Source organism: Homo sapiens, chromosome 3, assembly GCF_000001405.40.
Source record: "Homo sapiens chromosome 3, GRCh38.p14 Primary Assembly".
Taxonomy (NCBI): domain Eukaryota; kingdom Metazoa; phylum Chordata; class Mammalia; order Primates; family Hominidae; genus Homo; species Homo sapiens.
The window spans coordinates 44,791,524-44,818,997 of NC_000003.12; the positions used below are offsets into that span (position 1 = coordinate 44,791,524).

At 39.8% G+C, this 27,474-nt stretch overlaps 1 protein-coding gene across 16 annotated transcripts in view; it reads left to right on the top strand.

The window, feature by feature from the left end:
- The window catches only part of KIF15 (kinesin family member 15), a 106,894-nt gene that overhangs the window by 29,730 nt on the left and 49,690 nt on the right, over positions 1 to 27,474 (top strand). For 9 of the 16 annotated variants that reach the window (XR_007095708.1, XR_007095709.1, XR_001740214.2 and 6 more), the window contains 14 exons: positions 2,694 to 2,903; positions 6,028 to 6,153; positions 6,311 to 6,433; positions 8,791 to 8,914; positions 9,927 to 10,003; positions 10,242 to 10,451; positions 11,291 to 11,468; positions 13,504 to 13,645; positions 14,322 to 14,463; positions 16,294 to 16,362; positions 19,323 to 19,520; positions 20,659 to 20,766; positions 21,552 to 21,657; positions 23,388 to 23,553. Coding sequence is in view for 11 of the 16 variants with exons in the window: in XM_017006884.3 (XP_016862373.1) it covers positions 2,694 to 2,903; positions 6,028 to 6,153; positions 6,311 to 6,433; positions 8,791 to 8,914; positions 9,927 to 10,003; positions 10,242 to 10,451; positions 11,291 to 11,468; positions 13,504 to 13,645; positions 14,322 to 14,463; positions 16,294 to 16,362; positions 19,323 to 19,520; positions 20,659 to 20,766; positions 21,552 to 21,657; positions 23,388 to 23,553 (1,979 nt within the window). In the remaining 5 variants the exon portion in view is untranslated. Of the gene's footprint in view, positions 1 to 2,693; positions 2,904 to 6,027; positions 6,154 to 6,310; positions 6,434 to 7,671; positions 7,769 to 8,790; positions 8,915 to 9,926; positions 10,004 to 10,241; positions 10,452 to 11,290; positions 11,469 to 13,503; positions 13,646 to 14,321; positions 14,464 to 16,293; positions 16,363 to 19,322; positions 19,521 to 20,658; positions 20,767 to 21,551; positions 21,658 to 23,387; positions 23,554 to 27,474 lie in introns of those variants that run through there. The other 7 variants (XR_007095710.1, NM_020242.3, XM_047448602.1 and 4 more) reach the window with 4 other exon arrangements.

Below are 27,474 nucleotides of genomic sequence, written 5' to 3' on the forward strand. Positions count from 1 at the left end.
TTGAATCTATCAATTATTTTTGGTAGAACTGGCATCTTAACAATATTGAGTCTCCCAATCTATGAACACTCACCAGGTATTTTTGTTTTTGATTTTTTATTTTGATTTTTGTAGAAGTATTCAGGCAAACATGCTTGTATTTGCTTTTTCCCCTTATGTTACACAAGTGACAGCATACTGTGCTATTTTTATACCTTGCCTTTTTTATTTTGGAGACCAAGTCTCGCTGTTTTGCCCAGGCTGGAGTGCAATGGCATGATCTCAGCTCAATGCAACCTCCACCTCCTGGGTTCAAGAGATTCTCCTGCCTCAGCCTCCCGAGTAGTTGGGATTATAGCTGTCTGCCACCACGCCCAGCTAAATTTTGTATTTTTTAGTAGAGACGGGGTTTCACCATGTTGGTCAGGCTGGTCTTGAACTCCTGACCTCAGGTAATCCACCTGCCTTGGCCTCCCAAAGTGCTGGGATTACAGGCGTGAGCCATAGTGCCCGGCCGCTTTTTTTAGATAATAGTATTTTGGAATTTGTCTCAGTTTGGAGGATCTCTCTCTCTCTCTTGTTTTTTGTAGCTGTATGAATGTATCAGATGTATTTAATATGTAATATACAGTATTTAATGTTATAAAAAGAAAGCATAAAGTACTATCCAAGAAACATAACAGATACAAATAGCTGGGCGCAGTGGCTTACTCCTGTAATCCCAGCCTCTTTGGGAGGCCAAGGTGGTGGATCACTTGAGGTCAGGAGTTCAAGACCAGCCTGGCCAACATGATGAAACCCTGTCTCTATTAAAAATACAAAAAAATTAGGCATGGTGATGCATGCCTGTACTCCCACCTACTCTGGAGGCTGAGGTGGGAGGATCATTTGAGCCTGGGAGGCAGAGATTTCAGTGAGACATGAACATGTCACTACACTCCAGCCTGGGTAACAAAGTGAGACTCTGTCTTAAAAAAAAGAAAAAAGATACAAATAATTTCAGTTTTATACTGTTGCTGATTAATAGGGTTATAACAGCTACGAATTTTTTTTTTTTTTTTGTGATGAGACAGAGTCTCTGTTGCCCAGGCTGGAGCGGAATGGCCCGATCTTGGCTCACTGCAACTTCTACCTCCCGGGTTCAAGCGATTCTCCTGCCTCAGCCTCCCGAGTAGCTGGGACTACAGGTGCATGCCACCACACCCGGCTAATTTTTTATATTTTTAGCGGAGACGGGGTTTCACCGTGTTAGCCAGACTGGTCTCGGTCTCCTGACCTCATGATCCACCCACCTGGGCCTCCCAAAGTGCTGGAATTACAGGCGTGAGCCACCGTGCCCTGCCAACAGCTATGATTTATTGAGTGAAGGTGCCAAGCACTGTGCTAACTTCTTTTGTATACATTATTTTACTTAATTTTCAATATGCCCTTTGAGATAAAGACACTAATTTCCCCATTTTACCCTATATATACTGTTACCCTCCTACCCAAAATGTGGTCCTCAGAACATCAGCATCACCTGAGAGCTTGTTAGAAATGCAAAATCTCAGGCCCCACCTCACACTGAATCTGAATCTGAATTTTAACAACATCTGTAGATGATTCATATGCACCTAAAACTTATATGTTCTGTTCTATGGGATAGGTACCCATATTCCCATTTTACAAATATGAAGGCTGAGGCTTGAAAAGGTTCAGCTGGCCCCAGACCTCGCCTAGTAAATAGTGGAGCCATGGTTTGAACTCATATGCATCTGATTCCAGAGCCTGCATTCTGAACTTTCATGTATCCTGCTTGCCATAGGGAATAGAAGGGAAAAAATACTTTGTAGACCAAAAGCTTACAAAACTTTGGGCTTAAAGATAATTTACAGATTTTTCCTGTCCAACATTCTCATTTTCTAGGTAAAGAAATGGGTTCAGAGAGGTTTTGTGATTTACATTAGGTTAACACAAATAAAGCGTGGCAAAACCAGTTCTAGATCCTATGCGCTCTGATTTCCTGTTTGTTCTGTTTCTGTAATGTGGAAAGGGAACACAAAGGAAAGGAAAATAACTTCAGCTTATTCCTTAATGGACCAGTAATCTTTCTCACCACCCTTTACAAATTTCCTACTGATTTTGGTGGCTGTTGTGTACCATTTGGAACTTGGGATAATATAATTTATCTTATAAAGCTAGATAACAATGGAAGGCAATAGATACTCCTCACCCCTGTTCTAAATAGAAAATATGCTTTATGTAAATATATTTCTTTTTCCCTATGAAAGTAGATAATTAGCTGTATGTTAGTATTTTTCATAATAAAATGAGTGATTCTCAAGTGCTTATTTTACATTTTAAGTGTACCTATTCTTGTTCCTTTTTTTTTCTCTTTTCCTTTTTTTTTTTTTTTTAAGATAGGATCTTGCCCTGCTGCTCAGGCTGGAGTGCAGTGGCACAATCATGGCTCACTGCAGCCTTGAATTCCTGGGCTCAAGAGATCTTCCCACCTCAGCCTCCCGAGTAGCTAGGACTACAGGTTCCTGCCACTGTACATAGCAAATTATTATTTTTTGTAGAGGTGAGGTCTCACACTATGTAGGTCAGGCTGGTCTTGAATTCCTATCCACAAGTGATCCTCCAGACATGGCCTCCCAAACTGCTAGGATTACAGGCATAAGCCACTGTAACTGGTCCTCTCATTTCTTTTAATATGTTTTCCTTTTGCATAGGTGTTGTCTGGAGGATGGAGGAATAGACGTGTGGCATCAACATCAATGAACAGAGAATCGTCTAGGTCTCATGCCGTCTTTACAATTACAATAGAGTCAATGGAGAAAAGTAATGAGATTGTGAATATACGGACCTCCCTACTCAACCTGGTGGATTTAGCAGGATCTGAAAGGCAAAAAGATACCCATGCAGAAGGGATGAGATTGAAGGTAAGAATGAAATTATGGTCTTCAACTTGTGTGTGAGTTCTTACTAGCAGTCAATACAGTCGTGATGCATGACAGTGTCTCAGTCAATGAGGAACTGCATTTATGATGGGGGTCCCTTAAGAGTATAATAGCTATACCACATGGCTTAGGTATGTTGTAGGCTATACCATCTCGGTTTGCATAAGTATATTCTATGATGCCCACAAAACAATCAAATTTCCTAACAGCACATTTCTTAAAATGTACCCCTGTTAGCCGGGCGCGGTGGCTCACACCTGTAATCCCAGCACTTTGGGAAGCTGAGGCAGGTAGATCACGAGGTCAGGAGATCGAGACCATCCTGGCCAACGTGGTGAAATCCCGTCTCTACTAAAAAAATACAAAAGTCAGCTGGGCGTGGTGATGCGCGCCTGTAGTCCCAGCTACTTGGGAGACTGAGGCAGGAGAATCACTTGAACCTGGGAGGCCGAGGTTGCAGTGAGCTGAGATCGCGCCACTGCACGCCAGTCTGGGTGACAGAGAGAGACTCTGTCTCAGAAAAAAAAATGTATCCGTGTTGTTAACTGATATATGACCATACCAAGCTAAGTGTTTTGAGGGTGGCAAAGAAATAAGAAATTGTTCCTATTGAAAAGGAACAGAGATTTCTTTTGTGGAACAGTGAACATAGATGGGATAGGGCAAGTCTGTCAGTAGCAAAAATGTTTTAATTCATACCAGAGGGGATAAGGGTACAAGAGACAACAGGGGTCAGAGGAAGAAGGGTGCAATATGGACTGCTTGTGGAACATGTGGAAAAGAAGTAGTTCTTGACTTGTGAAGGATTTCGGTAGGGAGAGAGAAACAGGAAATGCATGCCTGGCAGGGGGGCATCTCAAGGGTTATTGTGGATGCAGAATGAGTGTAGCATTTGGCATTTCAGCATGGCTCAATGGATGGGTTGGTTAGAGAGGCAAGCAGGCCCGGATTATCAAGGACCAGGAGTGCCAGGCCAAGTTTGTATCAACTCTGCGAATACTGGGAAACACTTAACATTTCTTAGCAACTAAGTGATTCATGAAGAAAGCCTGTTTTATAGAAACTTAGTCATCTGACCCACTGCTGTTAAGATTTTAGAAGGGAGAGCCCACAGAAAAAGATGACCACTTACGCTGTTTAATATTTCAGGTATGAAGGGTTAAGTATCTAGTCCTAGGCTAAGGTATCAACAGTGGGACCAGAGGTTCTATGTAATATGTATTGTCAATATGTGTTTATATATATATATATATAGTAATACGAATTGTCAATAAAATATTTGTAGAGTCTATAGTTTAGAATATACATGGGCAAGGGGAGAGGAATTGGAAAGGATGAGGGAAGAGATCTACTTTTTTCATTAAAAGTGAGGATTTGAGTCGCCTGACCTACATTTGAGGCAGTTTCAGGCAATCTGAAGCTCATATTTTTTTGTTTTGAGACAGTCTCACTCTGTCACCCAGCTGGAGTGCAGTGGCATGATCTCGGCTTACTGCAACCTCTGCCTCTCTGGTTCAAGCAGTTCTTCTGCCTCAGCCTCCCAAGTAGCTGAGATTACAGGCGCCCACCACCACACCCAGCTAATATTTTGTATTTTTAATAGAGATGGGGTTTCACCATTTTGGCCAGGCTGGTCTTGAACTCCTGACCTCAGGTGATCCACCCTCCTTGGCCTCCCAAAGTGTTGGGATTACAGGCGTTAGCCACCACGCCCAGCCTAAAGCTCATATTTCTATTGAGATATGAGGCTTAATAAATATAGCATATGGGTTGAGCATGGTGGCTTATGCCTGTAATCCTAGCACCTGGGAGGCTGAGGTGGGAGGATCCCTCGAACCCAGGAGGTCGAGATTGCAGTGAGCTGTGATTGTGCCACTGTGCTCCAACCTGGGTGACAGAGTGAGACTCTGTGTCAAAAAAAGCATATGCTTATAATAGGACATATACCAAGTCTGTTCTAAAATGCTTTACATATATTAATTCATTTAACCTTCCCAACAACTCTGGGAAGTAGGTGCTATTCTTTCTATTTTACAGTTAAAGAAACCGAAGTCACACAGCTAATAAAGGTAGAGCTGAGATTCAAACCGAGCTGCTACAGTACTCTCAACCATGCCACTAACCACCTTTCTGATTTACTGAATGATAACAGCAGTGACTCTGAATTCAGTACATCTTGCATTATAATTTTGACTTTTTCTCTTTTTTGTATACTCCTTCCACTGCAGACCCAGTTTTCAAAATATGCTACCTACAGTAAAAATCTAATGTAACGTATTTAGCTCATTTTTTCCCCCCACCAAGCTTCTGTTTTAAAGTAGTTTTTATTATCCTTTACAGAATTAAACTGAATATTCTCCTCAAATAAGTTCATCAGTGGCTTTGGGGGCTGTATGGGTGAGTTATTAGGCATTATACCCTTAAATATTTTAGCATAAAAGGATTGAAAAAAGTACCTATTAATGCACTACTCTAGCTTTTTTTTCCCTATTTTTTTCTGGTCTTTATAGCTCGGTTTCAAACTATTACAATCATGAAGTGACATTAATATTTTTTTTCTTTGCATGATTTTTGTGTTTGTCTTTTTTTGTTGTTGTTTTTGAGAGAGGGTCTCACTCTGTCACCCAGGTTGTAGTGCAATGGCACAATCTCAGCTCACTGCAACCTCCACCTCCCAAGCTCAAGTGATCCTCCCACCTCAGCCTCCCAAGTAGCTGGGACTACAGGCATGTGCCACCATGCCCAGCAGTTTTTTGTATTTCTTTGTAGAGATGGGGTTTTGCCATGTTGCCCAGGCTGGTATCCAACTCCTGAGCTCAAGCAACCTGCCCACCTCGGCCTCCCAAAGTGCTGGGATGACTAGCATGAGCCACAGTGCCAGCCTGTGTTTGTCTTCTAATACTAAAATTACAGTGTACATCAAATAGGAAAAGGTTAGGGATAGTTCAGCACTTCTTTTTTATTTGTTGAATAGTTGTTCTTTATTAACATTGTCCCTGACTTGCCTTTTCATCCAGAATTTTCCTCTGCTAGATATATTTTCATTCAAAATACCAAAGAGTAACCAACGTACCTAAATTTTTGTTCTTTTCCGTCAACACTTTAGGAAGCAGGTAACATAAATCGATCATTGAGCTGCCTGGGCCAAGTGATTACAGCACTTGTCGACGTGGGTAATGGAAAACAGAGACATGTTTGCTACAGAGACTCCAAACTTACCTTCTTACTACGGGTAAAGTAGATCCTTGGGTTCCTGGGCTCCTTTTGGTTATGCTAAAGTTGATAGTGGGACAGTCTCTCAGCCTTGGTGGCAAGAGTATACATTTTCTTTGCTTAAAAAGGTCTTGTGATTTCTCACCGAAAATATGTTCATTCCTATCATTAAACAGGATTCCCTTGGAGGTAATGCCAAAACAGCCATAATTGCAAATGTTCATCCTGGATCCAGGTGTTTTGGGGAAACCCTATCAACACTTAACTTTGCTCAAAGAGCCAAGCTGATTAAAAACAAGGTAAAATACTGGCGTATACTTCATTAAATAAATGAGAAAAATACTAAAGCTTACAGTATGCCATTTTTGTGATTGCCCTAATATTAACATTAACTTTTATTTATTTCTCATTGTATGCAAAATTTCTATTTTATCTTTCCTACCCTTCTATATCACACATGTAATTAGAGACCTAGGTTAGATCTTATGGTTGTTATTGCTTGACTAGTTTTTTCTTTTTTTTTGAGACACAGTCTTGCTGTGTCACCCAGGCTGGAGTGCAGTGGTGCAAACACAGCTCACTCTAGCCTCAACTTCCTGGGCTCAAGCGATCCTCCTGCCTCAGCCTCCTGTGTAGCTGGAACTACAGGCATGCAGCACCATGCCAGGCTAATTTTTTTATTTTTTTAATTTTTATTTTATTTATTTTTTATTTATTTATTTTTTTGAGACAGAGTCTTGCTCTGTCACCCAGGCTAGAGTGCAGTGGTGCGATCTCTGCTCAGCTGGGACTACAGGCGCCCACCACCACGCCCGGCTAATTTTTTGTATTTTTTAGTAGAGACGGGATTTCACCGTGTTAGCCAGGATGATCTCGATCTCCTGACCTCGTGATCCGTCTGCCTTGGCCTTAATTTTTTTATTTTTTGTACAGGTAGGATCTCACTTTGTTGCCCAGGCTCGTCTCAAACTCCTAGGTTCAAGCAGTCCTCCTGCCTCATCCTTTCAAAGTGCTGGGATTACAGGTGTGAACCACTGTACCCAGCTGACAAATTTTTTCTTAAGGGAAAGCAAATTAAGTATGTGAGTCTTTCTTCCTGCCAACAGCCAATCAATCAGTTCTGCAGCAGACATCAGCTGAGTGTCTTCTGATTCAGTTCCATCCTGACACTTTATGTCTGGAGATAGGGTGAGATCTCACAGGTTCAGGGCTCAGTCCTACAAGACTGCGCCCAACTTCTGATGCCAATTGCAAGCCCCAGCTTGTCCTATCTGTGCTTTCAGACCAACTGGCTGTAAATCAGGAGGTCCATGTTGCCCCTTTCCCTGGGTAAATCAGAAGACTATAGATCTAGTCATTTATTTTATTTCCTTGGACTATGGAGTACTAGTAAGATGAGGAGGAAAAATCATTAGAGCTTCCTGACCCTAAGTCTCTTAAGATTTACTAGAAGTCTTTGGAGATATAGAACTGCAGCAATAATTAGAATTATGAAGTCACTGATGGGACAGTGATGTCAGAAGTGCAGTAGTACCTTGTAATGAGGCTGGCCATAAGAATCAGAAGCAACTGGAAATGGCTGCTTAACACACAAAAGAACAAAACCAAGAGCCTTCTACTAGTCACTCTCAATGGTAAGCCCTTTGCAGCCTATCAGTGGAAAGTGCCAGAGTATCTGGGACTTGTTTAAGGATGTGCTATTTAAATTTTTCCGTGAGCAAATTGGGCTTACAGCGAGAATACAGAAGACCTTGGGGCTGTCACAGGGTGTTTTTTCCTTGCTGGAGTACTGAGTATTTCACAACTGAGTCCTCTGACCTGGTTGGTACTCAGCTGTTGGCACTCGTTATCACCCTTTAGGCTTTGTGGACCTTTTTAAAGCTTTATTTTTTTAATTAATCAACTTTTTTTTTTTTTTTGAGATAGAGTCTCGCTCTGTCAACAGGCTGGAGTGCAGTGGCGCACATGTGTGACCTGCCCCACTCTTGACATCCTGCCCCACAGTGGCACATTTTGTTTGTGAGTCCTTTAGCCTTTTAGAAGTTGTCCTAAATAAGACATTTCTTTAAGAAAATGAAGATAATCATTTAGTGTGGTAAAAAATTAAAAAAAAAAAAAAAAAGGAAGTGTCAAACCAACCCCTCCTTCCAAGAGGGCTGTTAAAAAATAAAGGTCGGATTCCTCTGGAGAAGGTTGCTTCTGCCAAGCTCAAGCCCACCCTGCAAGTCATCATGCACTTAGAGGCTAGGCTCCTTCCCCGTAGGGAGCTAGGAAAGAAGGGAAATGATACTCACTGAGGTATTGGCTCTTCTCCATTGGGAGGGTGGGGGAAGGCTGTCGTTCTCAGGGAAAGAAGTATTAGGTGAACACACCCGGATCCTAAGGGTGACCCAGCCTAAAAGCTCAGGGCTAGTCAGCTGGGGGGCAGAGAGCCTGGCTGGGGCTGTCTCTCTCTGGCTCCAGGTCTGAAGGCACAAGAAAAGGAAGCTTCCTCCCCACTTGAGCACACTGTGATTCCTGTGTCCTTTTGACTATGATGTGGTCTTGAAGTTTTGTTTGATGTTCATCACTACAAATCATACCAAACAAATGTAAACACAGGACTATACTACTCAAAAAGCATTATTTTAATGCTTTTTAAAAAATTCCTGAACAGGCAGTAGTAAATGAAGACACCCAAGGAAATGTGAGCCAGCTCCAAGCTGAAGTGAAGAGGCTCAAAGAACAACTGGCGGAGCTTGCTTCAGGACAGACACCACCAGAAAGCTTCCTGACCAGAGGTAGGATGAGCACACAGTCCTTTATCTTGGGGAAGACTGTACAAATAATAGTTTAAGAGCCCTTGGTGATAGACACAACACAATAAGGCAACCCAAATTTTTCTGCAGGTATCTCTTTCTGCTTATTTCTCCTATATAGGAACATAGTGGTTTGTTTATAATCAGATACAGATACCATAGGCAGTGAGAAGGGGGAATTAAAATAATTTTGAATAATGTATAAGTGCTAAAAAGAGATTAATTTCATTTAGATCTACTTCTACGTAGCATATGTAATCTATATATGTTTACTATAGGATAAGAGAGACTTATTTTTCTTCAAAGAATAGCTAGTAGAGAATTAATTAACTGGAAATCCATAAAGGCAAGAGGGTGAATTATTAACAGATCTTAAGAGGTGCACAGCACCCTGGGACTCCTCTAATTTTTTAAAAAATCTACTTCTACTTCTGTTACACCATGTGTAATCTATTGTGCATATTAACTAAATAAAGAGAAACTTATTCTTTGAAGAACGACTAATATGTGGAATGGTTAATTTGAAATCCGTGATCTAGTGATGACGGTCTCATTGTTTTTTTTTTTTTTGAGACGCAGTCTCTCTTTGTCACCCAGGCTGGAGTGAAGCAGTGTGATCTCAGCTCACTGCAACCTCTACCTCCTGGGTTCAAGCGATTCTCCTGCCTCAGCCTCCTGAGTAGCTGTGACTACAGACCCACGCCACCATGCCCAGCTAATTTTTTTGTATTTTTAGTAGAGATCGGGGGCGGCGGGAGGGGGGGGTCTCACCATGTTGGCCAGGCTGGTCTCGAACTGCTGACCTCAAGAAAGATATCCGTCTGCTTCAGCCTCCTAAAGTGCTGGGATTACAGGCATGAGCCACTGTGCCCGGCCACAGTCTCATTCTTTTAGATTAGTTGAGAGCAATCAATTAAAGGCTATCTGTTCTCTTGGTTTTGCAATGTGATAAATATTTTTTTTCATCTTCCCTTTCTTATTGGATCAATTACAGACAAAAAGAAGACTAACTATATGGAGTATTTCCAGGAAGCAATGTTATTCTTTAAGAAATCTGAACAGGAAAAGAAGGTAGGAAATGGAATTAGTAATAAAGGAGATTCAAGATAGTTAGTTTTTTGCTGTGTGGTTTTTATTGCCTTACTAAGTGAAATAAATAATACCAAGTCAATAAAGTAATGGAAGGCTATGAAAAATCAAATTTTGCCTTTAAGATTAAATATGAAATTAGTATTTGTTGCTGGACTTACGAAAATTTAGGGAAGTCAAATTATTTTTCATGTTTAACCAAATTATGAATTTCTTTAAGTCTCTGATAGAAAAAGTTACCCAATTAGAAGACCTCACCCTCAAAAAGGAAAAATTTATTCAATCTAATAAAATGATTGTGAAATTCCGAGAGGATCAAATAATACGCTTGGAAAAGCTCCACAAGGAATCCCGGGGAGGTTTTCTGCCTGAGGAGCAGGATCGTTTGCTCTCAGAATTAAGGAATGAGATTCAAACTCTGCGAGAACAAGTGAGTATACGGCATCTATAATATTTCTAAAAATAAAAGAAGTTCAAAGCAAATCTAAGTTTGTCAGCAAGTACTTGTTCTTTAATACAATGGAAATTGTTTTAAGTGAATTCTTCTGACAGTGTGATTGCATAATTCCTTTACCTGTCTTTTTAAAATAGTTAAAGGGAAGAGAAGGGGAGAAGGAAGAAGTTGTGGTGACATTGCTACATAGTATGCTACTCTAGCAGGCCACGCAGAATTTCACCCAGTGGGCAGTTGTGGTTATCTGAGTCAGTAGGCTCTTTAGGGTTGTGCCTTTTAACGTTTTTGTTGTTTTTCCTTTTCCTTAGGGAGAATGGATAGGTCATACAGGTACATTGTGGGAAAACCCAAAATCTCTTATCAGCTTCTTGTTTATCTCTCTGGAGTTTTTAATGAATATTCAAACTAATATGGGTGGATATTTGTACTTTTGTTTCTCCTGTACACTTTTTTGCACTTCGCCTTTTTCAGTTAATCTTGGTTGACAAGATTAATTTGGTCCTTGTTCTTTTCAGTGTGTTGATTTAACTAGTCTCCTTTGCATGAAAAGCCTGCCACAATGTACACCCTTGTGCTTACCTCCTTAGGTGGGTGAACATTTCAAGGGTCTAGACTCCAACTGAGAATAGGAGAGTTACAGGACATGCATATTTTCAAACTGATCACAAATGCCAAGTTGCTTTCCATGGTGGTTGCAGAAGGGTACCACCAGTAGTGCATGTGCATACCTAGTTTTCTAATGGCTTTTTAGAGGAACTAATTCACTAAGGAAATGTTTGTAAATATATAATGCGTGTAATTCTTCTATGTCACAGATAGAGCACCACCCCAGAGTTGCAAAGTATGCTATGGAAAATCATTCCCTCAGGGAGGAGAATAGAAGACTGAGATTATTAGAGCCTGTGAAAAGAGCTCAAGAAATGGATGCCCAGACCATTGCAAAACTAGAAAAAGCTTTCTCTGAAATAAGTGGCATGGAGAAAAGTGACAAAAGTAAGAAATGATTGTTGTATATACGTGCCATGTAGGAAGGGGCTGTTTTAAAGAGCATTTTTAGTGCCTTGTGACTAGGGTCTTCATTTTAGCCTCCAGGCCTGCTATGCTAATGTCTTATACACATATTCTTTTATATTATAGAAAGGTATTTACTAAACTTTTCTTTTTCTCAAAAATCACAGAGCATAAACTACGTAAGCTAATAGATATAACGAGAAAATACTCATTGTATTTGTTTTATTGATAAAAAGATTGATTCAGATACTATGTTAAATTTTTACTAAATTTTCCTGTTTAAAGTATTTGAAATGAAAAGTCTTTAACTAATCAAACGTGAATAAAAATAGAGTTGAAATGTTTATCAATCTAATTAGTCCTGTGCAGTATAAGAGATATAGAAAGGTCAGACTCATAGCACAGTGTTTGGGTCCTGATGTTGTGTTTGGGTCCTGGTATTGTGGTTACCAATGTATGCAGTCTCTAGTTACATACTACTTTCATAAGTTTGCATACTATGTGAAAAGTGGTTTAGTTAATACTAAATCTGCCTTACAGTCTTGACAGCTGTTGGTGTTCATACCCTGGGATTTGGTAACAAAGTCTGTGTTTGCCCCAGTCTTAGAGTTAATATTTTCACGGTCTTTTATCATAGACTTGGCCTTGGTTTCCTTTTAGGTTGAAATTGAAAAAGTTCTAATGTTTTTATTCTGCATTCATAAAGAAGACTGTCTCTTTGCTTTTTAAAATTTCATTTTTTAAGCCTTCTTCCATTCTGTTATGACTGAATAGAATAATAAGAGTCACAGTAACTGGGTTGGGGAGAGACTTAAGATATTAGATGCAAAATTACTATCAGGTTTTCTGTTGTTTTTTTTGAGATGGAGTCTCACTCTGTCACCCAGGCTGTAGTGCAGTGGTGCGATCTCGGCTCACTGCAACCTCCACCTCCTGGATTCAAGCAATTCTCCTGCCTCAGGCTCCCTCCTGGGATTACAGTCACACACCACCACACCGAGCCAATTTTTGTATTTTTGGTAGAGATGGGGTTTCACCATGTTGGCCAGGCTGGTCTTGAACTTCTGGCTTCAAATGATCCACCCACTTCGGCCTCCCAAAGTGCTGGGATTACAGATGTGAGCCCCAACGCCTGACTTAGGTTTTCTGTTTTATTTAAACTACTTTTCCCTACAGTGCCCTTTATTTTGTTGGCCATTTTGTTGTGGCCTCCATAATACCTTGACTTACTCCCTTCAGAAGATACTAATGTCTGGATCTCATCAGTTTCTAAACATTGATCATTCTCTAAACAACTTTTACATGATCTTTTCCCACACTGAAACTCAGTGGACTCTCTTCAACATATTCAGTGTTCTAGGCATTTCCTGAAAATTAATATTTTCTACCTGATAGATGATACCGGGTTCTTACAACCTGCTGCCCTTGCTATTTGTTTCCTTTTCTAAATAATTCCTTGGCTGTTAACATTAGCTGCTAGCACTAATTCCTACAAGATTCACTGGCTGCTGTTTCTCTGTCTAGCATTAGGCGTGCCACACTTTCGTCATTGTTTGTTCTTTCTCCTAATGGGAAAGGTGTTGCCTTAACTACACTTCTCCATCCTGTGGCATCTGCTTCTTAAACATGACTTCTAATCCCCTTTGGCACACTGTGTCACATCCTGTGCCTTCTGCTGAGTTATAAGCTTTTGTATTTTAGGGCTCGCTTTCCAACCCATTTCTCACTTTTCCTCCTTGTGGCCCAAAATTGATACCTGACAGAGAACTTAGAAAATGTGTCCTGTTATTTTTGCTTGTCAAACACTGAAGTTGTAAAGCTAGGCATGGTGGCATGCACCTGTAGTCCCAACTATTTGGGAGGCTAAAGCAGGGGGTTCACTTGAGACCAGAATTTGGGGCTTTAGTACACTATGATCATGCTTGTGAATAGCCACTGCACTCTAGCCTGGGCAACATAGTGAGGCCCTGTCTCAGAAAAAAAAAAAAAAAGACTGAGATTGTTTTCTTATTAACAGATCAGCAAGGATTTTCACCTAAAGCTCAGAAAGAGCCATGTTTGTTTGCAAACACTGAGAAGTTAAAAGCACAACTCCTGCAAATTCAGACAGAGCTGAATAATTCAAAGCAAGAATATGAAGAATTCAAAGAACTTACTAGGTAAAGTCTAAATACACATGCATGCACACTTATTTTCTTTCAGTGTTCATTTGCTGTAGTGTTAATATCGATAATTCAATTGGGCATTTTACTTTAAATATTAAACTCTCATAGCAGCAACTACTTTGACATGAAGAGAAAGAGCATGCTTCTAGCTCTTTACTAATATATTCAATGAACTAGGTAATACAGGTGTTTTAAGCAGTTTTTTCCTGTTGAGAGTCTATTGAACTTGCATAGTAAATTATTTAAATTTAAATTTGATAATCAGAGTTGTTAAGACTTTTAGGAAGTATAGGTTTGTTAATATTCCTACTTGATTCTCACTATGTAAAAACAAAGATAAATCACATTCATATTATAACTAAGATCAATCTTACCCTAAAATATAAACAAATGTTTGGTTCAAAAATGACATATCACATATGGTATAATCATGGACTATTTGTTTGGGCTTTTGAATTTGAGCCCTACCATTTACTAGTTGAATCCCTTAAACAGTCTCTGAGCTGTAGTTTACTGAACTGGAGAATGATGGGAATAATCTGAGAGAATAGAGAATATCTCTGATTTAGAGATAACTATAAAGTTATGTGAGAGCATAAACTGTAAAGTATTCTATAAATGTTTGACATTACTTATTACCTGAAATACTCCGTTTTACAATATCTATTAGGAAAAGGCAGCTAGAATTGGAATCAGAGCTTCAGTCTTTGCAAAAAGCGAACCTTAATCTTGAAAACCTTTTGGAAGCAACAAAAGCCTGCAAGCGGCAAGAAGTTTCTCAGCTGAATAAAATTCATGCTGAAACACTTAAGGTAGGTCATCTGAACAATACCTCCACCTTAAATCAGTGCAATGTCATTTTATTAATAATGGAGAGAGTCTGCATGGTCTATCTCCAGATGCAGATGACATCCCATGCAGGTAATTAACACCGGTGTCACACTGGTCTTTGGGTTACTGCTAGCAATCCCACTGATGTATCCCCCCAGTGGTAGGGTGGGGTAGGAAAGAATTCAGCATTTGCAATCAAATTCGAATGTGCCATTAACTTTAGTCAGGGTTTCCTAACTTCTGAGCCTTATCTTTCTTTTCTCTAAATTGGAAATGAAGGTAATTTACTTGCAGAGTTTTAGAGTACTAAATGAGATAGATAAGCTGCCTGGTACCTTGTAGATATCAGTAAAATGGCAGCTATTACTACAATATAACATGTCCTCAAAGTTTTCAGTAGAATAGAAACCCTAATGGGCAAAGACCGCTAAGGGATCACAGGTGCCACTGGAAATAACATGAGAGGGTTTTGTCCTAAATAACCACATCCCTCATAAAAGAAAAAAAAATGTGTGAACAACTGAGAATGAGGAGAGAGAAAGGAAGTACACAAGGAAAACAAAAGGTTGAGGAGGTGATACTGATTTCAGCTTTTGTATCCAATTTTTTGAAGGTTAAAAAATTTTTTCCTTAGCTGGGTGTGGTGGTGCAGGCCTGTAGTCCCGGCTGTTTGGGAGGTTGAGGCAAGAGGATTGCTTGAGCCCAGGAATTCAAGTCCAGCTTGAATTCAAGTTCTTTTCTTTTCTTTTCTTTTTTTTAAGACAGAGTCTTGCTCTGTCGGCCAGGCTGGAGTGCAGTGGTGCAATCTCAGCTCACTGCAACCTCCGCCTCCCAGGTTCAAGCGATTCTCCTGCCTCAGCCTCCCGAGTAGCTGGGATTACAGGCGCCTGCCACCATGCCCGGATAATTTTTGTATTTTCAGTAGAGATGGGGTTTCGCCATGTTGGCCAGGCTGGTCTCGAACTCATGACCTCGTGATCTGCCTGCCTCGGCCTCCCAAAGTGCTAGGATTACAGGCAAGAGCCACTGCGCTGGCCTCAAGTTCTTTTCAATAAAAGAAAGAAATAGAGAAGACCGAAAACCTTTCCTTATATGTCTTAGAATATAAATAGATGTTTATTTATAATGATTATTTTTAGTAGTGGTGCTTTTTGTGTCACTTAATGGAAGACTACTTGTATTCATTTGAATAGGTAATTTATGTGACTGAAATTTCCTTTCTTTTCTTTTTTTTTTGAGACGGAGTTTTGCTCTTGTTGCCCAGGTTGGAGTGCAGTGGCACGATCTTGGCTCACTGCAACCTCTGCTTCCTGGGTTCAAGCGATTCTCCTGCCTCTGCCTCCCGAGTAGTTGGGATTCCAGGCGCCTGCCCCAACACCCAGCTGATTTTTGTATTTTTAGTAGAGACGAGGTTTCACCATGTTGGCCAGGCTAGTCTCGAACTCCTGACCTCAGGTGATCCGCCCGTCTCGCCTCCCAAAGTGCTGGGATTATAGGTGTGAGCCACCGCGCCCAGCCTGTGACTGAAATTTTCAAAGGCATTTAGTAGCAAATCTCTTTCCTTCTGTTGTTCTTCCAGCCAACCAAGAACTGGAGGCAATCAGTGTCACCAAGTCAATCAATGTCACCAAGTATTTTCTCACTTTACACAAATGGTGGCATAACATACACATCATTCTACAGCTTGAGGGTGTGTGTGTGTGTGTGTGTGTTTTAAAGCAATATTTTAGAGTTTGTCCCATGTCTGCAGGGGAAAAAATGTTCTCCCCCTTTTTGTTTCTGTTTTGATTTTTTATTTGTTTTGGCAGCAGCTCAAGAATGTTATGTGGATATATAATGATTTATTCAACCTGGAAAATGCTGGGTTTTTTCCTATACAGGTAGAAATTTAAAAATTATTTTTAAATTTTGATTTATTTTATTTATTTATTTTTGGTTTTGTTTTTTAGAGACAGAGTCTTGCTCTGTCACTCAGGCTGGAGTGCAGTGGCATGATCATGGCTCACTGCAGCCTTGAACTCCTGGCTTCAAGTGATCCTCCTGGAGCCTCAGCCTCCCAGAGCACTAGGATTACAGGTGTGAGCCACCATGCCTGACCAGAATTTTTTTTTACTGTTGCTTTTTAAAAAAGGTGGTCTTTGAAGTTTTTGTAAGAAATTATTGAAAAATACTTGCAGAATACTGCCAAATGTTTTATAATTCTGTGTCTGTAGCCCCTTAGCACAATGGAATTATAGAGCTTGAAGCACCACGGCATTCTCGTCCTACTTCTTCCTTTTATGACTGAGCAAACAGGACTCAGAGGATTAGGTTTGCCAGGAGGGGCATAGCAATTCAGAGTCTTTGTTGTTGTTTTAGTTGGACAACTACTATATGAATACATTCTCTTTGTTTAAAAGAAAGACACATATTTCAAGTTAAAGTTAAAATTCCTTTTCAGCATCACTTCCAATCTGGATCTAATATAATCCTTTGTCCCCACAATCCCTGGAGGTAGTTTAATCCTTTTTCTTAGCATTTTTGTACTGTTAATATATACAGACTGAGAAAACACATAGAGTTGTTTCCTAGATTGTGTATTGTTTTGCTTTTTTTTTTTTTTTTAAAAAAAAACGGTCATTCTTCATGTGTTATTCCACAATATGCTTTTGTTAACTCAGGGATATGCCTTAGATCTTTCCACATTAACTGGTACCTAGAGCCTCATTTGGATGTGAGGCTCAAGGAATATGAGCCTCATACCAGTTAACGTGAGGCTCAAGGGTTATGAGCCTCATACCAGTTAATGTGGAAAGATCCAAGGCATCTCCTTTGAGGGACAGAAGAATTATAGAGCTTGAATTATAGAGCTTGAAGCACCATGAGGGATATCCCCTTGGGGGATATGCCTTGGATCTTTCCATATTAACTGGTACCTACCTCATTTTAACCCTAGGTTTCTATGGCTTAAGTAGATGGTTTCCAGTGCGTGCATTCTCTGGGGGTGGATTCCGTTAAAGGAGAAGTGGTCATTTTAGGATGTCTTAGCATTTGAGTGAGTCAAGCTGAAGCTCCCTCCTAGTGCCCTGTTCCCGCAGCATAGATGCATAGATGCACTCCTTTCCCAGCACTGTCCGCAGGAACTGGGATTGTCATGCTTGTTAATGTTTGACCATCTGATGGGTAAAAAATGAGATCTTGTTGTTAAGGTTTTAATTCTCATTTCTCTAATTTCAAATATCTTTTCATATGTTCATGTCCATTTGTATATCCTATTCCCTGAAAAGAAAAACTATTGTTTTTTTATATTTTTCTTCAGATTTTGTTTTTATGTAATAAGCATTTGTTTGTTAGGTGTACTGCCAATATATTCCTCCATCATGTTGCTTGTCTTTCATCTTTGCATGTGATGCTTTTGTTATATAGAAGTTTTATATTTTTGATGTAGCCAGGTTTATTGACCTTTTATCTTTATGACTTTTTTGCCTTTAATTTTGCTTTACATTGAGGTGTTTGTGTATCCACTGTTTTTCTTTTGAATGGTATGAGAAAGGGATTTAACTTAAAAAAAGTAATACAGCTAGGCATAGTGGCTCACACCTGTAATCTTAACACTTGGGGAGGCAGAAGCAGGAGGATTGCTTGAATCTAGGAGTTCAAGACCAGCTTGGGCAACATAGTAAGACCCTACCTCTGCAAAAAAAAAAAAAATTTAAATTAGCCAAGCATGGTGGTGTGCACCTTTGGTCTCAACTACTCCTGATACCTAAAATTTCCACAGAAAGATTATTCTATTTCTGGGCGGGGTGTGGTGTCTCACGCCTGTAATTCTAGCACTTTGGGAGGCCAAAGCGGGCAGATCACTTGAGGCCAGGAGTTGGAGACCAGCCTGGCCAACATGGTGAAACCCCATCTCTACTAAAACTACAAAAATTAACCAGGCATGGTGGTGTGTGCCTGTAGTCCCAGCTACTTGGGAGGCTGAGGCAGGAGAATTGCTTGAACCTGGGAGGCAGAGGTTGTGGTGAGCCAAGATTACACCACTGCACTCCAGCCTGGGCAACAGAACAAGACTGTGTCTCAAAAAATAATAATAATTCTATTTCTGGACTTTGTATTTCCTCCCAGTGTTCTATTTGAATGTACATAAGCTAATGTACTGTTTTAATATAATGTACTGTAATGTAATGTACTATTTTAATGACCATACTCCCATACCCCTATGTATTTTTATATCAGATGGGGAAGTCTTCCTAATTTGTTCTTTTTATTTTTATTTTTTTGAGAGACAGGGTCTCAGTCTGTCACTCAGGCTGGAGTGCAATGGTGTGATAATAGCTCACTGCAACCTAGAACACCTGGGCTCTGGGGATCCTCCTGCCTCAGCTTCCCAAGTAGCTGGGACTACAGGCCTGGGACACCATGCCCAGCTAATTAAAATGATTTTTTTTTTTGGTAGAGACAGGATCTCACTATGTTGCCCAGCCTGGTCTTGGACTCCTGGCCTCAAGTGATCCTCCCCTTCTCAGCCTCCCACGGTGTTGGGATTATAGCCATGAACCACCATGCCTGGCTTGTTCTTTTTAATTGTCTTGTCTCTTCTTGTACATTTATTCTTTGTATGAAAATAGATATCAGCTCATTAAGTTTATTTTTAAAAATTGTATTAGAATTTTGCTTGGGACTGCATTGAATTGATAAATTTATTTCCACTTGGGCATTTTTGTACTGTGTCTCAAGGGTACTTTTTCCTTTCTTTTCATGAATAGTATTTCAATTTTATCCTCTCTATTCACAAAATTATTAAATATGCCCTTTTTAAATATGTGCTAATGTTTTCCATAATCATTTTTTGCTGCAGATTATAACTACACCAACCAAGGCCTACCAACTTCATTCCCGACCAGTACCAAAATTAAGCCCTGAAATGGGAAGCTTTGGCTCTCTATACACTCAGAATTCTAGCATATTAGATAATGATATATTAAATGAGCCAGTTCCTCCTGAGATGAATGAACAAGCTTTTGAGGCCATTTCTGAAGAGCTTAGAACAGTGCAGGTAATGTTTTGTTCTAGAAAAAATAAATAACTGGACATCCATTTAAATACATTTGCTTTGTTATTTTAATTCCCTATAAGTTACAGTGTTCAAAAGTGCTTAGTATTAAAATCATATCTTTTTAAGTGTGGGTTTATAATCATTCCTAGATTGGAAATCAGCCCACTCTTGCTTTTTGTCTCTACTTTACAATCTTTAGCAAGTCATTCTCCATGGGTTTTTGTTCCTTAGTGTATAAAATGACCAGTTGGCCACTAGCTCCAAGTTCCAGAACTGGTTTATATAGCAAAGTGCTGTATCTGCTAAAAAAAGTTAAAAGAGGCCGGGTGCGGTGGCTCACGCCTGTAATCCCAGCACTTTGGGAGGCTGAGGCAGGCATATCACGTGAGATCAAGAGTTTGAGACTAGCCTGACCAACATGGTGAAACCCCGTCTCTACTAAATAGACAAAATTAGCCGGGTGTGGTGGTACATGCCTGTAATCCCAGCTACTCGGGAGGCTGAGGCAGGAGAATTGCTTGAACCCGGGAGGCGGAGGTTGCAGTGAGCCGAGATCGCGCCACTGCACTCTAGCCTGGGCAACAAGAGTGAAACTCTGTCTCAAAAAAAAAGAAAGTTAAAAGAATCTTATTATAGATCAAATTTTAGACAGTTTTTAATATATTTGAAATAATGTGAAATTTGATTATTCCAGAATTTTTATGGTTTGTTAATTTTTTAAAAAGGTTTTCTACTGTCCAGTAAAAGTTGGAGTGGGCCAGACCACCCCAAACCCCAGTATTTTGTCCTTTCCAGGCCATGGAGGTAACCGCTTGCAGCCCTGAGGAAGCTTCTTAGAAGTCTCAAGATGGCTCTGTCATGTAATCCAGGATTTTAATTTTAATCACTTCTTTCCTTTGTATTTCAAAGTGTCTACTTTAATGGACCACAAGTGTAAATCTGAAACATTAGCAATCATTTAGTATATAACCTTTTGATGATGTTTTCTGGCTCCAAACAGGCCTTTGATACCTTTGTTCATATGAGGTTTTGAATTTGTTTTGTTTTGTTTTGTTGTCTCTTTAATGCAGACGAAATGGTGGAATGTTTGAGAATTCCATTAAAATAAATTTTGATGACTGAAGTTTTTGTGTTGCAGGAACAAATGAGTGCTCTTCAAGCCAAACTGGATGAAGAAGAGCATAAAAACCTAAAGCTTCAGCAGCATGTTGACAAACTGGAACATCATTCTACCCAAATGCAGGAGGTGAGACCAAGAGCACAGCCTCAGAAAATGTATGAAGTACCCTCAAATGTTACCTTGAGGAAACATCCTCAAGGATCCTCAAACATCCTTGAGTATGCATGAAACATATTCAGAGAGTATCACAGAAAGAAAATGTTGTCACATGGCCTTAGTGAAGGCTTATTTGAGCTGTATTCTCTACCTTGTTACTTAGCATGCTGCTCTGATAATGAGACAGGCATGCATAGTCTAAACCTGGCTGACTTAGTCAATAATGCAAATGGATCCCTTGCTATGTGTTTAGAAGAAACCAAGATGGACTGTCCATGGCTTCATAGTTGTTAATCATCTTTACTGTAGTTCATGGGGACAGCCAATTTTCTTCTGGTCAGAGACGTTAAAGCTAGACTTTAAAAACAGGGACAGGTTAATGGGGCCAGGCACAGTGGCTAACACCTGTAATCCCAGCACTTTGGGAAGCCAAGGCAGGTGGATCGTCTGAGGTCAAGAGATCAAGACCAGCCTGGCCAAGGTGGCGAAACCCCGTCTCTACTAAAAATACAAAACTTAGCTGGACGTGGTGGCGTGGGTCTGTAGTCACAGCTACTCAGGAGGCTGAGGCAGGAGAATCACTTGAACCCAGGAGGCGGAGGTTGAAGTGAGCCGAGGTCGCATCACTGCACTCCAGCCTGGGTGACAGAGCAAGACTCTGTCTCAAAAAAAAAAAAAGAAACAGGTTAATGATTTGGAGTGCATCTTAGCATGCCAGTATTCCTTTTCCAGTAAATTTATCTTTTTTCCCAAAGCTTTTCTCATCAGAAAGAATTGATTGGACCAAACAGCAGGAAGAGCTTCTCTCACAGTTGAATGTCCTTGAAAAGCAGCTTCAAGAGACTCAAACTAAAAATGACTGTAAGTTATTCTATCAGGAGCTTTGTGACTTGAAGGAATACTGTAACTCAATATCTTTTTACTTTTATTAATAAATGCTGTTCCTATGTTTTTGGATGGTTGCTTTGTTGTTGTTGTTTGTTTGATAACCAGACTGCAGTTTGCATGCAGTGGTAAGTAACAGTAATATATCATAAAAGGTAAATTTCTCTATCATTGCCCACAAACAAATGATACAAATGTTTGCTTAAAGTTTTTTGTTGTTTGTTTGTTTTTGACACAGACTCTCGCTTTGTCACCCAGGCAGGAGTCCAGTGGCATGATCTTGGCTCACTGCAACCTCCACCTCCCGAGTTCAAGCGATTCCCCACCTCAGCCTCCTGAGTAGTAGCTGGGATTACAGGAGTGCATTACCATGCCTGGCTAATTTTTTTTTTCTTTGGTCATTTTTTTTTTGTTTTGTTTGTTTTGTTTTTTTTTTTTTTGAGGTGGAGTCTTGCTTTGTCACCCAGGCTGGAGCGCAGTGGCGGGATCTCGGCGGCTCACTGCAACCTCCAGCTCCTGGGTTCAAGCAGTTCTCCTGTCTCCTCCCAAGTAGCTGGGATTATAGGCGTGCACCACCAAGCCCGGCTAATTTTAGGAGAGACACGGTTTCGCCATGTTGGCCAGGCTGGTCATGAACTCCTGACCTCAGGTGATCCACCCACCTCGGCCTCCCAAAGTGCTGGGATTACAGGCGTGAGCCACTGTGCCCAGCCTGCTTAAAGTTTTAGATAAGCTGCTTTGAAAATGAAGTGTCTTGAATTCATGAATGTTTTAATATTAACAAAGCGTAGGTTATATATTTGTATATGTTTGTAGATGTGGGAATATCATTTGATTCCCAATTTTTTCACTTTATTTTTCCCTTCATTAAAGTATTTGCAGTGGTTTGTAATAAAGCTAAAACAAAAAGAGATAGCCATTCTATTTTCTTTGAACTAAAAAGTTAACTAATACTATTTGCAGTTGTAGTTGTCTTAGAAGACCTGAAGTAGTTAACCCATGTTGGAAAGTTTAGGCAAATTTCCAAGGGATTTTCAATAACTAAGATGAGCTCACTCAAAATATGTTACATCTTTTAATTTTTTTTTCTTATATTAAGAGTTTTGTTTGTTTGTTTGTTTTGAGACAGAGTCTCACTTTGTCACCCAGGCTGGAGTGCAGTGGGTGCAATCTCGGCTCACTGTAACCTCCAACTCCCAGGCTCAAGCGATCCTCCCACCTCAGCCTCCTGAGTAGATGGGACCACAGGTGCTCACCACCACAGCCAGCTAATTTTTTGTATTTTTGGTAGAGACAGGGTTTTGCCATGTTGCTCAGTCTGGTCTCGAACTCCTGACCTCAAGCATTTCGCCTGCCTCAGCCTCACAAAGTACTGGGATTATAGGCATAAGCCACTGTGTCTGCCCTTATATTAGGAGTTTTGAAGCACATTTTACAGGAGAAATCTAGCAAAGTCAAGTGACCTGTAAGTCAGGGACAGATGTTAATGCTTTCTATTTCAGTAGAAATTTACGAAAAACCATGTGCAAGGGAGAGGAAGAAAATAGAAATCTCAGTGCTGCTAGGTACCCGCCACTTAATTCTTTAACATTTTTCCTTAAAATAGTCTCTTCGACTTGATTTTGCTAATTGTGGGACTAGTACCTATCAGATTTATTTGTCTGCTTTAAGAAACCTACTGAGGATATGTTTTCTTTGTTTTTTAGTTTTGAAAAGTGAGGTACATGACCTGCGAGTAGTCCTTCATTCTGCTGACAAGGAGCTTTCTTCAGTGAAATTGGAATATAGTTCATTCAAAACGAATCAGGAGAAAGAATTCAACAAACTTTCCGAAAGACACATGCATGTACAGCTTCAATTAGATAATCTCAGGTAGAGTTGTTCTTTTATGGTTTCAAGTTGCCTGATTGGCTGTAACCTACGACTGTTTGAAGTTGGAAGTGTTATAAACTCAACTCAAAGCAGTTAGACAAATAAAAAAGATAATTTATTGGCTCCAATATTGGAAGCCCCAGAGGTGATTTTGGTTTCAGGAACAAACTAGTCTGAGTCTCAAGCAATATTGTCAGTGTTCTATCTCTCTCAGCTATGCTCAGTTCTATGTGTTGCTCTTATTCCCTCCTATTACTGAGGTCCTTCTTCTATGTGACAAGGAACAGATTGCCTCACACAGCTCCATATTTTGGTTCCCAGGATAAAAACCCCTGTAAAGAAATTCTCTCTCCCAATAGCCATGTATTATCCCAGAGAAAATCTGAATTGGTTTTGCTTGAGTCATCTGCTCACCTTTGGACCAGTCACTTTACCAGGTTTGAGATGGCACTGGCCTGACATAGAGTAATGTGCCTGCTCTGGAGGGAAAGGTGTGCTCTTACTAGAAGAAAGGACAGTCAGTATAAGGTAAACCAAAACAATAGTCTTCACTGCTGTGCACACTAACTCTACAAAGGCTGGCTGATTAGTCAAGTGCTGATATCTTGAAACAAATGTAATCTCACATCTAAATAGTTTATTCTTTGTTATTTACTGTTTCTTTTTTTCTTCTTGCTAATTTCAACCTTTTGTATAACATAACACTTTTTGATAATGTCTCCTGTGTCTATAAGCCATAATTTAATAATGGACATGAATGTTACACTGTGAATGTGATGTGAATGTAACTGTTTGCTCTGGAAAAGCTACTAGTAGGCAGCCTTGAGTTTAATTTTTGTAGATGTTACAAAGATTAAAATCTGTAGCTGTTGAGTGTTTTTTGGATATACAACCAGAAATTGAAAGAGAGGAAGAAAACTTGAGATCTGCAGGCCAGAGCCACCTATACATACATTTTTCTTTTTTTTTTAAAGATTCATTTCTATTTGTAAAATGAAAAAAATGCATAATTATTACTAATGAAATACTGACAATAGTTTCATAAAAGAGAAAGTGATGACATTTGTAACCTTTCCTTGCCATATCTCTATCTCACTGAATGTTGAATAGCTTGAGTTTTAGGCAAAATCCCATATTTATCTGCTGCTGCTGCTTCTCCTTTTTTTAAAATTTTTTTAAATTTTACTTTAATTTCTAGGGTACATGTGCACAACGTGCAGGTTTGTTACATAGGTATACATGTGCCATGTTGCTTTGCTGTACCCATTAACTCATCATTTACATTAGGTATTCCTCCTAATGCTATTCCTCCCCCAGCCCCCCACCCCTTGACAGGCCCCAGTGTGATGTTCCCCGCCCTGTGTCCACGTGTTCTCATTGTTCAGTTCCCACCTATGAGTGAGAACATGAGGTGTTTGGTGTTCTGTCCTTGTGATAGTTTGCTGAGAATGATGGTTTCCAGCTTCATCCATGTCCCTGCAAAGGACATGAACTCATCCTTTTTTATGGCTGCATAGTATTCCATGTGTATATGTGCCACATTTTCTTAATCTAGTCTATCATTGATGGACATTTGGGTTGGTTCCAAGTCTTTGCTATTGTGAATAGTGCCACAATAAACATATGTGTGCATGTGTCTTTATAGTAGCATGATTTATAATCCTTTGGGTATATACCCAGTAATGGGATCGGTGGCTCAAATGGTATTTCTAGTTCTAGATCCTTGAGGGATTGCCACACTGTCTTCCACAATGGTTTAACTAATTTACGCTCTCACCAACAGCGTAAAAGTGTTCCTATTTCTCCACATCCTCTCCAGCATCTTTTGTTCCCTGACTTTAATGATTGCCATTCTAACTGGTGTGAGATGGTGTCTCATTGTGGTTTTGATTTGCATTTATCTGATGACCAGTGATGATGAGCATTTTTTTCATGTGTCTCTTGGCTGCATAAATGTTTTTTTTTTGAGAAGTGTCTGTTCATATCCTTTGCCCACTTTTTGATGAGGTTGTTTGTTTTTTTCTTGTAAATTTGTTTAAGTTCTTTGTAGATTCTGGATATTAGCCCTTTGTCAGATGGGTAGATTGCAAAAATTTTCTCCCATTCTGTAGGTTGCCTGTTCACTCTGATGGTCATTTCTTTTGCTGTGCAGAGGCTCTTTAGTTTAATTAGATCCCATTTGTCTATTTTGTCTTTTGTTGCCATTGCTTTTGGTGTTTTACTCATGAAGTCTTTGCCCATGCGTATGTCTTGAATGGTATTGCCTAGGTTTTCTTCTAGGGTTTTTATGGTTTTAGGTCCAACATTTAAGTCTTTAATCCATCTTGAATTAATTTTTGTATAAAGTGTAAGGAAGGGATCCAGTTTCAGCTTTCTACATATGGCTAGCCAGTTTTCCCAGCACCATTTATTAAACAGGAAACCCTTTCCCCATTTCTTGTTTTTCTCAGGTTTGTCAAAGATCAGATGGTTGTAGATGTGTGGTATTATTTCTGAGACCTATGTTCTGTTCCGTTGGTCTATATCTCTGTTTTGGTACCAGTACCATGCTGTTTTGGTTACTGTAGCCTTGTAGTATAGTTTGAAGTCAGGTAGCGTGATGCCTCCAACTTTGTTCTTTTGGCTTAGGATTGTCTTGGCAATGCGGGCTCTTTTTTGGTTACATATGAACTTTAAAGTAGTTTTTTCCAATTCTGTGAAGAAAGTCATTGATAGCTTGATGGGGATGGCATTGAATCTATAAAATTATCTTGGGCAGTATGGCCATTTTCACAATATTGATTCTTCCTACCCATGAGCATGGAATGTTCTTCCATTTGTTTGTGTCCTCTTTTATTTCGTTGAGCAGTGGTTTGTAGTTCTCCTTGAAGAGGTCCTTCACATCCCTTGTAAGTTGGATTCCTAGGTATTTTATTCTCTTTGTAGCAGCTGTGAATGGGAGTTCACTCATAATTTGGCTCTCCGTTTGTCTGTTATTGGTACATAGGAATGCTTGTGATTTTTGCACATTGATTTTCTATCCTGAGACTTTGCTGAAGTTGCTTATCAGCTTAAGGAGATTTTGGGCTGAGATGATGGGGTTTTCTAAATATACAATCATGTCATCTGCAAACAGGGACAATTTGACTTCCCCTTTTCCTAATTGAATACACTTTATTTCTTTCTCTTGCCTGATTGCCCTGGCCAGAACTTCCAACACTATATTGAAGAGGAGTGGTAAGAGAGGGCATCCCTGTCTTGTGCCAGTTTTCAAAGGGAATGCTTCCAGTTTTTGTCCATTCAGTATGATATTGGCTGTGGGTTTGTCATAAATAGCTCTTATTATTTTGAGATACGTTCCATCAATATCTAGTTTATTGAGAGTTTTTAGCATGAAGTGCTGTTGAATTTTGTCGAAGGCCTTTTCTGCATCTATTGAGATAATCATGTGGTTTTTGTCATTGGTTCTGTTTATGTGATGGATTGCATTTATTGATTTGCGTATGTTGAAGCAGCCTTGCATGCCATAGATACAGCCGACTTTATTGTGGTGGATAAGCTTTTTGATGTGCTGCTGGATTCACTTTGCCAGTATTTTATTGAGGATTTTTGCATCGATGTTCATCAGAAATATTGATCTAAAATTCTCTTTTTTTGTTGTGTCTCTGCCAGGCTTTGGTATCAGGATGATGCTGGCCTCATAAAATGAGTTAGGGAGTATTCCCTCTTTTTCTATTGATTGGAATAGTTTCAGAAGGGATGGTACCAGCTCCTCTTTGTACCTCTGATAGAATTTGGCTGTGAATCCGTCTGGTCCTAGACTTTTTTTGGTTGCTAGGCTATTAATTATGGCCTCAATTTCAGAGCCTGTTATTGGTGTATTCAGAGATTCAGCTTCTTCCTGGTTTAGTCTTGGGAGGGTGTATGTGTCCAGGAATTCAT